General features: G+C 38.0%; 1 protein-coding gene across 5 annotated transcripts in view; it reads right to left on the bottom strand.

The window, feature by feature from the left end:
* Positions 4,249-15,153, bottom strand: part of ZNF81 (zinc finger protein 81) — an 88,726-nt gene continuing 77,821 nt past the window's right edge. For 2 of the 5 annotated variants that reach the window (NM_001378152.1, NM_001378153.1), the window contains one exon: positions 7,665-14,952. In NM_001378152.1, the coding sequence (NP_001365081.1) occupies positions 13,244-14,952 (1,709 nt within the window). In that variant the 3' untranslated portion in view covers positions 7,665-13,243. Of the gene's footprint in view, positions 14,953-15,153 lie in introns of all 5 variants that reach the window. The other 3 variants (NM_001378154.1, NM_007137.5, NM_001378155.1) reach the window with 3 other exon arrangements.

Genomic DNA, 15,153 nt, shown 5'->3' with positions numbered 1-15,153 from the left:
GTGTCATTCCATAGTGATAAAAGTGTCTACTTAACAAGAGGACTTAACAATCCTAAATGCTTGTGTACTCAATAACAGAGCTTCAAAATAGACAAAGTATAAACCGGTATAACTAAAGGGAGAAATAGAAAAAATATAATTTTAGTTAGAGATTTCAATACCTCTCCCTCAATAATCGATAGAATAAATACAGTAGTCCCCCCTTATCTGTGATTTTGCTTTCCATAGTTTCAGTTACCCACAGTCAATTGCAGTCCAAAAATATCAAAGGGAAATTTCCAGAAATTAAAAATTCGTAAGTTTTAAGTTGTGCACAGTTCTCAGTAGCATGATAAAATCTTACACCATCCCACTCTGTCCTGCCTGGGAGTGAATCCTCCATTTTTTCAGCATCTTCATGCTGTATATGCTATCCACTTGTTAGTCACTTAGTAGCCATATTGGTTATCTGATCAGAAAAACAGTATATAGGGTTCAGTACTATCCATGGTTTCAGGCATCCACTCAGAGTCTTGAAACATATCCCCCGTGGATAAGAGGGGGACTACTGTATAGGAAAATCTGTAAGTCTATAGAAGGCTTGAACCACACTATCAAAAATCTTGACTTAATTAACATCGATCATGCCATACAATGATAGTAGAATACATATTCTTTATAAGTATGCATGGAACTTTTTAACAATACAGACCATATTCAGGGCCATAGAGGAAATCTCAGTTAATTTGTAAGTATCCAAGTCCTATAAAGTATGTTCTCTGACCACAATGGAATCAAATTATAAATCATAGGGAAAAATAAGTAAAAAATACTCAAATATTTGCATACTGAATAATACACTTCTAAATAACCTATGGGACAAACAAGAAATCCTAAAGTAAGTTAGGAAGTATTTTGAATGAATGAAAATGTAAAAACAATGTAAAAATATCGTTACAATACAGTATCAATGTAAAAATGTAAAAACATCAAAATATATGAGTTGCTACTAAATGAGTGCTTAGAGGATAATTTATATCACTAAAAATTTATACTACAAAAGAAGGAAAATCTTAAAGCAGTGACTGCAGCTTCAACCATAGAAACTAGAAAATGAGCACTTCTTTTTGTTTTTTTGTTTTTTTTTTTTTGAGACAGAGTCTCACTCTGTCGCCCAGGCTGGAGTGCAGTGGCGTGATCTCGGCTCAGTGCAACCTCCGCCTCCCGGGTTCAAGCAATTCTCTTGCCTCAGCCTCCTGAGTAGCTGGGATTACAGGCATGCGCCACCACACCCGGCTAATTTTTGTATTTTTAGTAGAGACAGGATCTCACCATGTTGGCACAGCTGGTCGTGAACTCCTGACCTCAAATGATCCACCCACCTCGGCCTCCCAAAATGTTGGGATTACAGGTGTGAGCCACCATGCCTGGCCGAAAATGAGCACATTTAAGTCAAATAAGCAGAAAAAGGAAATAATAAAGAAAAGAGCATAAATCAATAAAATCCAAAATAGAAAAACAATAGAGAAAATCAAGGACACTAAAAGCTTCTTGAGAAAATCAATAAAATTGAGAAACTGTAGCCAGACTGATCAGGAGAAAAAAAGTGAAGACACAAATTACTGATATCAAGAATGAGAGAAGAAACATCATTTCCAATGCTACAGATAAAAAGGGGATGTGACAAACAACTTCACGTTCCTAAATTAGACAACTTATGTAAAATAGACAAGTTCTTTGAAATATACAAACAAAGCTTAATGAAGAAGAATATGACAACCTGAATAGTTTCCTAACTATTAAGGAATTGAAGTTGTAGTTAAAAGCCTTTTCACAAAAGAATTCTAGGACCAAATGACTTCACTGGAAAGTTGTATCAAACATTAAAAGGAGGCATAATACCATTTCCACACTAACTCTTTCAGGGGAGGTACCACTTCCCAATTCATTCTGTGAGCCCAGCATTACCCTGATACCAAAAGCGGACAAAGAAAATACAAGAAAAGAAAACTATAGACTAGTATCCCACATAAACATATATGCAAAAATTCTTAACAAAATTTTTAGCAAAGTGAATCTAGTGAAATATAAAAATGGTAGTACGTCACGACCAAGAAGAGTTTAATTCCAGGAATACTAAATCTATCAATAGTCAATGTAATTCAAAAAATTAACAAACTAAAAAAGAAAAACTATATGATAATCTCGATGGAGAAAAAACATTTGACAAAATCTAACACCTATTCCTGATAAACTATCAACAAACCAGGAGTAGAGGCAACTTCATCAACCTGATAAAGATCATGTATGAAAAACATATAGCTAATATCATACTCAATAGTGAAAGACTAAATGTTTTCTTCTGAAGATCAAGAAAAGGGCAAAGATATACACTCTGACCACTTCTATTCAACATTATATTGTAGGTTTTAGTCAATGCAATAAGACAAAAAAAGAAAGAGCGCCTATAGTGGAAAGGAAGAAGTGAAACTATCACACTTCACAGATGACATGATTGTCTGTGTAGAAAAGCTTACAGGATTTACAAAATTACTAGAAATAATAAGTGAGTTTAGCAAGGTTATCGTATACAAGATCAACACATAAAAGTGAATTATATTTCTATGTACTAGCAAAGAAATATTGGAAATTGAAATTTAAAAATAACTGGTACCATTCAAAAGCATAGATATGAATTATTTAGAGATGAATTTGACAAGATATGTCTAAGGCTTGTACACTTGAAAACTACAAAGCACTATTTTTTGAGACGGAGTCTCGCTCTGTCGGCCAGGCTGGAGTGCAGTGGCACCATCTCTGCTCACTGCAAGCCCCGCCTCCCGGGTTCACGCCATTCTCCTGCCTCAGCCTCCCGAGTAGCTGGGACTACAGGCGCCCACCACAATGCCCAGCTAATTTTTTGTATTTTTAGTAGAGATGGGGTTTCACCGTGCTAGCCAGGATGGTGTCGGTCTCCCGACCTCGTGATCAGCTCGCCTCGCCTCCCAAAGTGCTGGGATTACAGGCGTGAGCCACCGCGCCCAGCACTACAAAGCACTTCTAAGAAAAATTAAAGACCTAAATAAATGGAATGATATGTCCTGTTTATGGATATGAAAACAATGTAATTAAGATGTCAATTCTCTCCATATAGATCTATGAATTCAGTTCAATCTCAAAATCCCAGCAGGCTTTTTTTTAATAGTAACTGACAAGGTGATTCTAAAATTTATATAGAAATTCAAAGAAAAACCAGAATAGCCAAAACGTGTGAAAAAGAGGAATAAAGTTAGAGGATTTGCATGATCTGACTTCAAGACTTATGAAGCTACAGCAAAGAGTAATGCTACAGTAGTACAGAAGCTACAGTAGTACAGAAGCTACAGTAATGGTGTAGTACTGGCAGTAGTGGTACTGGCATAATAGAAAACTAGAGCAGAAATAGAACCAATCAATTAATTTTTTGATAAATATATCAAGGCAATCCAATGCATTATCATTTTCAACAAATGGTTCTGGAACAACTGGACAGCCATATGCAAAACAAAATCAACCTAAATCCTTATCTTTGGAAAGGATTTACATCATATGCAAAATTAATAAAAATGGATTAGGTAACCAAATATAAGAGCCAATATTATAAAACTTCTAGAAGAAAGCATAAATCTTTTTAAAAACTTTTATCTTAATGACCTTGAGCTTTGCAAAAATTTATTAACCATGACCAAAAAAGCATGAAGTATAAAAGAAAACAAAAATGAATTGAGCTTGTTAACATTAAAAACTTTTGGTCTTCTGTTATTTAAATGAAAAGGCAAACCTAGAAGAAACTGTTTACAGAATGTACATCCAACAAAGGACATATATCTAGGATATATAAAGAACACTTACAACTCAATAATAAGACGAACAACTGAGTTTACAAATTGGCAAAATATTTAAGAAGACACATCAACCAAGATGGTATACAGATGGTACATAAACACAAGAAAAGATGCTCAACAGCATTACTTATTAGGGAAGTGTAACCTAAAACCACAGTGAAATACCACTACACTCCCATTAAATGACTAAAATTAAAAATAATAATCATACCCAATGAAGCAACTGCAGCACTTATATACTGCTGGTTAAAATGTAACATAGTACAACCACTTTGGAAAGCAGTTTGACAATTTCTTAAATAATTAAGTATATACCTACCATATGACTAAGCCATTCACTCCTATGCATTTACTCAAGAGAAATGAAAACTATGTCCACACAGACTTGTAAACAAATGTTCACATCAGTTTTATTTGTAATAGCCAAAAGCTGGAAATACAAATTTCCATCAAAACATGAATGGATAAACAAATTCTGGTATGTCCATATAATGAAATAACACTTAGCAATAAAAAGGAATGAACATAGACGCATATAACAACATGAATGAATCTCAAACTTATTATGCTGGATGGAAGGAGCCAAACAAGAGTACCTATAGTATTATTCCATGTGTATAAAATTGTAGGAAACGCAAACTAATCTATAACAATAGAAAACAGATCCATGATTGCCTGTGGATGTGGGAAGAATGTGGGGAAAGGGGGCTGAATGACAAAGAGGCATAAGGAAACTTTTTTGGGGTGATTGATATGTTCATTATTTGTATTGTCATGATGGTTGGAAAGGTGCACACGTCAAAACTCATCAAATTGTACACTTTAAACAAGTTCCACTTTCTGTATGCTAATTCTACCTCATTAAAACTGTAAAATATGTTTTGGGGACAATGGGAGAAATTTGGAAATGGACTGGATATATCATAGAATTAGATTGATAATGATATTCCAGGTATGTGGGAGAATGTCCTTATTTTTAGGAGATGAATGCTCAATTATTTATGGTTATAATGTTATATCTATAACTTACCACTGGTATTTCAGGAAAAATTACATATAAATTGTTAAATCTAGATGGATGTTATATAGGTTGTACTGTGTTTTCAATATTTCTACATGATTGAAAATACACATAATTAAGATGTGAGGGAAATAATGTTATATTGTTTTATTGTCCATCCTCTTCTTTGGGTATATATATATATAATCTTTATTAACCTGGAATGCAACCAAATCTTCTCTGGGAAAGTCTCCAGGGAGGGAGACATTCTCTATCTTTACTATCCTGGAATGTAAATAAATCTGAGCAAATTGCTTGTTAATGTCTAAACATGAAGAACATGAGATTCAAGGAGAATTGTCTCTGAAGACAAGGCTAGAGTCAATCACACAAAACTGAAAAGAATAATGATGTGAAATGGATGTTGATTGGTAGAAGATGAATGTAGAAGGTGACAAAGACATCTTACATATGCATAATTGATGTCCCTGAAGAAGAGAAGAAATGGATCAGAAAAAATGTTAAGCAAAATAAAACTTCCTTGAAATGAATGATTGGAATGGCTCACTATAACTCAGGTAAAATTAATACACAAAGATCAGGACCAAAGCATATGCTTCCATAGATCCTTAACTTCAAGAATAAAAAAAGAATCATATGGCAGAAAGGCACATTATATACAAGAAAAAAGAGAGCAAGTTTGTCTAAGACTTCTTAATAACATCACTCAATTTTAGAAGAGCAGCATCTACCAAATTCTCAGGAAAAGAAAGTATAAATATGTCAATCAGGGAAGCATAATAACTATGAGCATTATGGAATAAGGGATGCATGCACAATTTATAGAGGTAGCTGGGGAAGGTTTAGAAGGGGGAGTTAGAAGACTAAAGAAATCACTAAACCAGCCCTTTTGAGACATTAGCATGGGTGGATAAATCAGAGCTTTCAGGAAAATCTGAGAAGCCAGGCACATCTAGCTGCTGATGTGGGACTGCCATGAGAAGCTGGTGGAGAAGTCCATGAGAAGCTTTTGTGAGCCTGCAGCCAAGCATCTGGTGGTAGACCTGGGGCTACTGTTGGTCAGCAGGGCTGGAAGATGGAAAGAAGGGCTGGATATAGAGTGGAAGATAGGAAAAACTGGAACCTGCTGGGTACCTCTGCATCTGTCCTTCACTGTCTCTAATTTCAAAGACTTTCACAGCAATAGTTGCTCCTTCCCTTTGACCTTCCAAATCTCATGTAATTTCTACTTTAGCCAACTCTTATTTCTCAGTATAACCCAAACGACAGAATAATCTAGTCCAATGGCTTGATATTTTTCTATGAGAAAAATTGCTTCATGGTGAAGTAACACCACCTGAATTCAGAAATTCCTCTGAGTTTGCTCAATTGCTTTGTTTAAATTTACTTCCAAAATAGCATTCATCAAAGCCAACAACAACCTCTGTGTCATAAAATCAAGAACCAATTTTCCATCCTCATATGAATTGATGTCTAATTTGGACAAGTCCTCCATTAAAACACTTGTTGGAAACACTGTTCTCTATGAGCCCCTTGCTCACCTGGTATGTTTTTACCTCTCTGGCTGCTCCTTCTCATTATCTTCTATAGGCATATCCTTCTCGACCCAAAGCACAAGCTTTGGTCTTAGGCCTGCTTTTCCTGTTACTCCCTACATTTTCTTTAGATAGCTGGATGACACTAAGATGCCGGAAACAAGCTCTCAAATCCCACCTCAGTGTCCCAAGCACAGAGAGTTGTAGGGGGACCTGTGCGGGCTCAGGAAGTGAGGTGTATCTAATACCCATTAAGAAATTCTCTCCATGCATAGTTCTAAGAGCTCTACACAATATGCATTAACTTCTTGTTAATGAACTGTGTACCTGCAAAAAAGATACGTGGAAATCCTAATCCCCAGAACCTCAGAATACAATTTTATTTGGAAATAGAGTACAGAGGTAATTAAGTTAAAATGGGGCCATTAAAGTGAACCCCACTCCAATATAACTAGTGTCCTTATAAAAGGGGAAATTTGGAAAGAGAGCCAGACACACAGAGGGAACATGATGTGAAGAAACACAGGGAGAAAACAGCCATCTGACAGGAATAATGCATCTATAAGCCAAATAACACCTGAAGCTCTCAAAAGCTAGGAGAGAGGCATGGAACCGTTCCTTCCCTAGCACCTTCAGAGGGAGCATGACCCTGCTGACACCGTGATTCGGATCTCCAGCCTCAAGAACAATGAGACAATTTCTGCTGTTTTAGGCTGCCCAATTTGTGGTACTTTGTTATAGCAGCCCGAGGAAAGAAATATGCTTCTTAGTCAAATCTATGATAGGTGGTAGTGTGTACATCTTTTATAGATGAAAACCATCAGGACAGAGGTTAACTAACTTTCCCAAGGTCACATAAACTAGTAAATTGGTAGAGCCAGGATTGAAACCCTGGCAGATGGGTTCCTGAGCCTATCTACCTAACCACTATGCAAACTATCTTTTAATATTTTTAGCAGCATTGTTCCCAGTGACAAAAAAGGGTTGAAAATGGGAGTGAATAAATTTTAACAATGCAAATAGTTTAATACATTATTGTACATCCACCCCATAAACTATCATGCAACCATTCAAAACAAATATTGTTGAATAATAATAAAGCAAGCTGCAGAGATGGTTGTATGTTATGATCCCATTTTTGAAAATCAAAGGAGGAAACAATCTTATATAACTTCTGATTACAAGCATGGGAACGTATGTATGTCTATATATGATTATGAGCACAGAGCAGAGATTAAAACATGAAAGTGTTCACAGTAGTTTATTAGTATTGGTCATCTGTTAGAGAAGAATAGTGGAGGAAGAAATGCAATAAATAATCAATGTATCAGTTAGCTTTTTGCTGGGTTGTTATCATGCTGCCCAAAACTTAGTGACTTAAAACAGTTAACGTTTTAATCCATTATTCTGGTAGTTGTTTGGGATGGCTGGGATGGATGGCAGAACCTTCCTAATCTGGGCCAGTGTATTATTAACCTATTACTGTGTAACAAATTACCCTAAAATTTAGCAACTTAAAACAACATTTATTGTCTTGCAGTTTCTATGGGTCAGGAATTCGTATGGCTCAAAAGATGCCTCTGGCTGAAGGTCCCTCATGAGTCAAGCTATCTGGCTTACAGTCAAGCTATTTGGCTGTGGTCCTCATCTAAAGGCTAAACTGGGGGAGGATATGCTTCAAAGTTCACTCATGTGGACCTTTCCACAGGGCTATCTCATGATGTAGCAGCAGGTTTCCCCTATGATGAGCCATCTGAGAGAGTAAGCAAGCACCCAAAATGGAAGCCACAGTCTTTTTGTAACCAATCTTGAACATGACATCCCATTACCTCTGCCTCATTCTATTCACTAGAACCAAGTCACTAATTCCAGTCCAAACTCAAGAGGAGGGGATTATATAAGAGTGAGAATACCAGGAGGTGGGGATCATTCAGGGTCATCTCAGAGACTGCCAGCCAAAGTTGCCTTGACCAAGACTGCATGCCTAGGATAGCTTCATTCATATGTCCAGCAGTTGAAAATCTGGTTGGTGTAGGGTATCTCAACTGGGATGGCTGGTCTTTGCTCCATTACTGCTCCATGTGATCGCTCTCATTTTCCAACAGCACAGTTCAGGCTTTTCCACACATGGGTTCAGGATTCCAAAGAGCTGCAAAAGTGGGCAAGCCTCATTGTGCAGGCACTTCTCAAGCCTCTGCTTGTATCATACTTGTTAATGTCCCATTGGCCAACAAAATAGCCAAGCTCAGTTGCAGGGGTTGAAGAAATAGATTCTACCTCTTGATGGGTGAAGTGGCAAAGTCACACTGAAAAGGGCACATATTCTGATAGTAGGAGACCATGGAGACTGTCCAGACTTCTAGTTTCTGCCTAGCATGTAGACATCTGGAAAGAACACTGCTCCCATCTTTATAACAAGAACAAAGCTGGGTAATCTGCAAAAACATAAGTTTTCTCGAACCCATCAGAGAGCTAAGATTACAGAGCAACCAACTAGCTTGAAATATAATAAAAGACAAGTGCCTCTCCTGGGCCATCTGTGGTACAGCAGGAAGGAAGATGAGGCCACTATACAAGCAGTAAGAATTCAACAAGAATTTTTAATGAATTGCTAAAGGCTGAGTGCGGGAGACTCATGAGAGCTGTAGACCTAAGGGTAGTTGGTCTCTGCTTGCAGGCTCTTCTCCATAGTCATCCACTGAGTGCTCTCAAGAAACACGGGGACAAGGAAGAAGACTGGAGAAAGCCTACCTCCATGGGGTAGGCCTGCAAGGGGGCTGCTGTTAACATAGAAATGGCACAAAGCTCCAATGAAACCCTACTCCCCTACAGAACAAAATCCTTAAGCCACTAAAAGAAGTGCAGCAAACCCTGTTGCCCTCAGGACACAGTTAAAGATTCACTGTGACTAGAGTGAGGGAAATGGAAAAAAAAATTCCACCCATGATAAAAGGGCAGGAAATCATCCTGGGCCCAGATCATTAAAGGCCTTCTACCAGTGGAAGAGGGCAGGATCACTAAAAAATCCCACCCTCAAGACCCAGGGATTCATGGCCTGACAAAAACTGAGGCTGGCCCAAGACAACCCCTGCCCCCCAACTCACCAGGTCAGCAAGAACCAAGTAATAACAGTTGTCTACTACTAACATAGAGGCAACAACATGGAGAGAGACCCTCCCTGAGATGCAGGCACACAGGAAAGGCCTACAGGCCTAAAGGCAAGTGTGGTCTGGGAAAAATAAAAATTCTCTGGGCAAACCAGTGCCTACCTCAAGCATAAGATAACAATAGAGGAATTTTAAGTCTATGGTACAGCAAAGGTAACACTGGCAACAAAGAAACACAAACTCAGCCCAACTCCTGATTAGATGGATTCAATCTCCCCATGCTAATGGCCTATCAAAAGGGCAACCATGGCTGTTTCCAGGAATAATTACTATTTACCTCAGTTTCTACTGTCCTACATACAACATCTGTGACATTCAGCCAAAAATTATTAGATGCAAAAGAGCAAGAGAAGACAACAACAGACCTAGACTCAGTTGACCTAGTAGTTGGAACTATCAGACAGGGAGTTAAAAATAACTATGATTAATATGTTAGAGGGTATTATGGGCTGAATGATTGCATCCCCCCCAAAATTCATATGTTAAAATCCTAATCCTCAATGTGATGGTATTAGGAGGTGGAGCCTTTGGGTGGTAGTTAGGTAATGTGGGTGGAGAACTCATGAATGGGATTGGTGCCCTTATAAAAGGGATCCCAAAGAGTTCTCTAGCTGTAGACATGGGAAAATGCAAGAAGTGAGCAGTTTGCAACCTTGAAGAGGGCCGTCACCAAGACCTAACCTTGCTAGATTCTGATCTCAGACTTCCAGGCTCCAGAACTGTGAGGAATAAATTTCTGTTGTTTATAAGCCACCAAGTCTATGGTGCTTTATTATAGCAGCTCAAACTGACTAAGACAAAGGGTAAAGGGGAAAACATGAACATGCATGAAAAGATGGGGAATTTCAGCAGATATATGAAAATTGTAAGAATCAAATGGAAATATTACAAATAAAAATAAAACATAACTGAGTTGAAGAATGCCTTCAATGGGTTCAGCAGTAGACTTGACAAAGCCAGGGTGAGAGAAAAAACATCAGTGAATTTGAAGACAGATCAATAGAAATTATCCTAACTGAAACACAAAGAGAAATAAAGACTGAAGAAGGACACATATACAGGGATGAAGACATCTGTAGCATTTTTCTACCTAACACAGTGTGTCTTCTGGTCACAAAGTATTCACATTACCACCCCATGCAAAATGTGTTCACCCCTATTCCAGGACCTCCAAATTTCTCATCCAAAATTGTGGCATCAAGCTCCAATCCAGAATCTCAAGTCTTCTGTATCAGGTTCAGGTGTGGCTGAGGTTCCTTGGGTACAGTTTTTCAGTTTCTTGATCCAGATACCTGTGAGCTAAATGACAAGTTACATGCCCCCCAACATACACCCAATATATACAATGGTGGGATAGGTACAGGATAACTGTAATAGACACTCCCATTCAAAAAGAGGAGGACCATGAGGCACATATCAGTCACTGTTCCATAACGATTCTGAAATCCCACAGAGCAAATGTTGTCGGTTCCCTTGGCTCCAGGGGCAGATACGTTTCTTGATTAGGGCACAGTTCTCCCTGGGAACGGCTCCCCAGCTCATTTTAATATATTGTTCTTGGGTCTTCCCTCTGAGATGCCCTTCATTTTCCATAAGAAATGGACCGTGTTTGCATCTGAGTAACTTTCTCAGCTTGTATCCTATTCATAGAAGTTAGGGAGGGGAATCCAGAGGCCACTTTTCATTTTGAACTGTTTCAGTCCCTGGAAGTCCAACCTGGAGGTAGTTTTACTAGTAAAACTCTATTAAAAACTTTGTGAGTTTCCTATGAATCTGGTTTGGATCTACTCCTTTCCCCAAATGCCACATCAGCAATTCTTTTTAAGATAGGTCTCTCTCCACTTTGAGTAGTATGTCAGGCTTCTATGGGACAACGTCATGAAGATTTTTAGAAGCCCTTAAGTTTAGCTGAGATGGTCTCCTAAGCACCAACTGAACTATTTCACACACTGTAATAAAGAGTCTTACAGACACAACCATGATTTGATCTTTACCCTGAGGCCATTTTTTACCTTGCGAATAGTTAGATAGCTGGAGAGACTAGTGATGTGAAAGCATTATTTTTCAACCCAGCAATCCTTGGCTTTTCCATATTTCTTCTGAATTCTGCTTGCCAAAGAAACAGTTATTTCTTTAGTTCATTTCTCTCTTTCTGTATCGTATCATATGCAGCTAAAAGAAGCAAACTGATACTTCCCATATTCTGCTGCAAATCTCCTTAGCCAGATCCACCAGTTCGTTTGGTCCATTCTCTATCTTCCCACAGAGTATGGTGATGACTGTTTTTCTGTATCTTTCCCTACTAAATAACATGGGTTGCCAACTATCCAACCTTTGTTATTTGAGGAAAAACAGTTTTCCTCACTGTTTTTCCAGTTTCTACGTGCCACTCAGACCCAAAGCCAATGCCACTTGTCACGTTTTGGTCCACTATGCCCCCTCCCCCAAACATATACTTTCAAATATTACTTAGCATTTTCTGTACAACAAACTAACCCCAAAACTCATGTTGCTTAAAACTATCATCATTTTATTTATCTCACAATTCTGTAAATCAGCTGGAATAACTGGTATGGCTCTTCTGGGCTAGGCTGGCTCAGCTGGGGCTAGAGGTCTTGGAAAACCTCACTCCCAATTCTGACAATTGGCAGGCTACTTGGTCTAAGGGGCCTCAGCAAGGCTGGCTCACCACTGCTCCATGTGGTGGCTCCTCACCCCCGAGTAGGGCAATTTGAGATTCTTCAGGTTTGCAAAGAGCAGCAAGAGAGGGTAAGCTTCAAGGCAGGCTTTGCACACTTCTCAAGCTTCTTATTGATTCTCTTTGCTAATTTCCATTGGCCAAAGAAAGTCACGTGGCCAAGTTCAAAGTCAAGTAGTAGACAAAGAGACGCTACTTGGGATGGGAGGAATCTGTGGCTACTTTGCATTGTACCACAATGAAAGAAAACAAGATACTATGTCATGGAAACCAGTACGAATGACAGGATTATATTTGTGTGTTCTTATAAAATTATATCTGCAGATGTGTGTATATATAAAACCAAAGTGACTTTTAAATTGTGGATTCACTTGATAGAAATATTCAATAAGAAACATATTTGATAGACATATTCAGTAAGAAACATTTGATGGACATAATTATTCTAAATTTGAAAAAAAATGTAATATTCCTCCTGTTCTGCACTGTGTTCTGCCACAAACACCCTATGGAACTGAAAGTAGGTCTACTCACCAGTTATATTATTTTGCTGCACTACCTTTCATTTTGTTATCACTTTAAATTGCTTAATATAACACAGTAAACCTGACCATCATTTACATAATTTTGCACTCTCCTTCCTATAAAGAATTTGGTAACAATTTAACTTATAATACTTTCTATAGGAAGGCTTTTCCTAACACACCAAACTGACAACATTTTTCCCAGTATGACTTTTACTATATTTCATGAGGCTGTGCAAATTCTCTCTCCTTCAATGCATTTTTAAGAGAGTTTCTTCTGAATAATTTTTTTCCATCTCAAGTGAGATAGCCTGATGCTTTTCCTTATACAATGTATTCATATAGGATCTGTCTTGGATGAATTTTATAATATATAGTTAGACCTGACTTTTGTCAGCCTTATAAGGCTCTCATTTTCAAGAAACAGGATTACTTTCATGTATGAATATTGCGATGCATACTGAGAACTGATTTCTGGGTGAACCCCTTTCCACAGTCGCTGCATTTATACGGTTTATCTCCAGTATGAATTGTCTGATGTTTATTGAAATTTGACCTATCAGTGAAGGCTTTCCCACATTCTGCACATATATATGGTTTCTCCCCTGTGTGAATTCGTTGATGTACTTTGAGATGTGGTTTCTTGGAGAAGGATTTCTCACAGTCAGGACATTTATAAGGCTTCTCTGTAGTATGAATTCTCTGATGTGTAATCAACTCTGACTTCTGGATGAAGGCCCTCCCACAATCAGCACAAACATAGGGTTTCTCTCCAGTGTGAATGGTCTGGTGTTTATTGAAATTTGACCTGTCGGTGAAGGCCTTCCCACATTCAGCACATATATAAGACTTTTCTCCAGTATGAGACTTCTGGTGAGTATTGAGATTTGACCTGTTGGTGAAAGCCTTCCCACATTCAGTGCATATATAGGGTTTCTCTCCTGTATGAATTCTCTTATGCATCTGGAGTTGTGACTTAGAAGGGAAAGATTTCCCACAGTCACTGCATTCATAAGGCTTCTCTCCAGTATGAATTCTTTGATGTGCAATCAAGTGTGCCTTCTGGATGAAGGCCTGCCCACATTGAGTACAGATATAGGACCTCTCTCCTGTATGAATTCTCTGATGCATCCTGAGTGTTGATTTTTGGGTAAAGGCTTTCCCACACTCACTGCATTTGTGATGTCTCTCTCCAGTGTGAATTTTCTGATGTATATTGAGGGCTGAGTTCAGGGAGAAGCCTTTACCACATTCACTGCATTCAAAGAGTTTTTCTCCAGTATGAGTTGTCTGATGCCTGAGTAGAGATGACACCTGGAAAAATGATTTCCCACATTCATTGCATTTATAGGGTTTCTCTCTAGTATGAGTTTTCTCATGCATAATTAATTCTGAATTCTGGATGAAGGCCTTCCCACATTTAGTACATATGTAGAGTTTTTCATCTCTATGAACTCTCAGATATATACTGAGTAGTGGCTTCTGTGTAAAAACATTTACACATTTGCTAAGCTCATGAGGTTTTTCCACAGTATGAATTTTTTGAGGAGCAAAGAAATGTGACCTCTGGGTGAAGATCTTCCCAAATTCAGTACATGTGTTTGCTTTCTCTCCAATGGGAAATTTCACATTTTGACTGAGTGAGTGTTTGAGGCTGAGGACTTTTCCACATTGATTACGTTCACAGAACTTCACTCCTGTATGTGTATTTTCGTGGTGACTATAAGAAGAGTTCTGGGTAAAAACTTGACCATGCCCAATAGTTTTATCCAGGTTCTTTGCTGCATTGCTTTTATTATGAATATGTAAGTCTAAATTATGCTTAAAACTCTTCCCAAATGAATCACGTTTATGGGGTCTTTTCTGTGAAAGAATGAGATTTGGGCTTGGATGAACAAATTTTCCAAAGTCTTTATATTCATAATCCCACTCTGTATTCAATATTTTCTTATTGAGGAAAGTAGTGCGACTCAGAAGTTTGTTGTGTTTTTCCTGACATCTCTTTATCTGTTCAGCATCTTGCCACAATTCTTCTAAAATAGAGTATAATGAATCATCTCTTGTGTCTTCACCCTCCATTTCACTATGAAATGTAGATTTCCCAGAAATTCTCCTCTGGGAAGGCTTAATTCCAAATTTCCCATCTAAAAAGAGAAAGAAAAAGTAAAATTGACACAAACAATAGACCGCAAGAGATTAAAAGGTACACATAAGCTAATACAAATTGAACACATGGAAATCAGTAAATCTCATGATGACAATGATGACAGGAAATACATATATAGCACTTTTATGTGCCAAACTCTTACACGACACTTACAATATTCCAGGCACCATTCTAAGAA

Source organism: Homo sapiens, chromosome X (assembly GCF_000001405.40).
Source record: "Homo sapiens chromosome X, GRCh38.p14 Primary Assembly".
NCBI lineage: Eukaryota > Metazoa > Chordata > Mammalia > Primates > Hominidae > Homo > Homo sapiens.
Note: the sequence above shows the minus strand (reverse complement) of the source record. Positions and strands in the feature narration are given on the sequence as shown.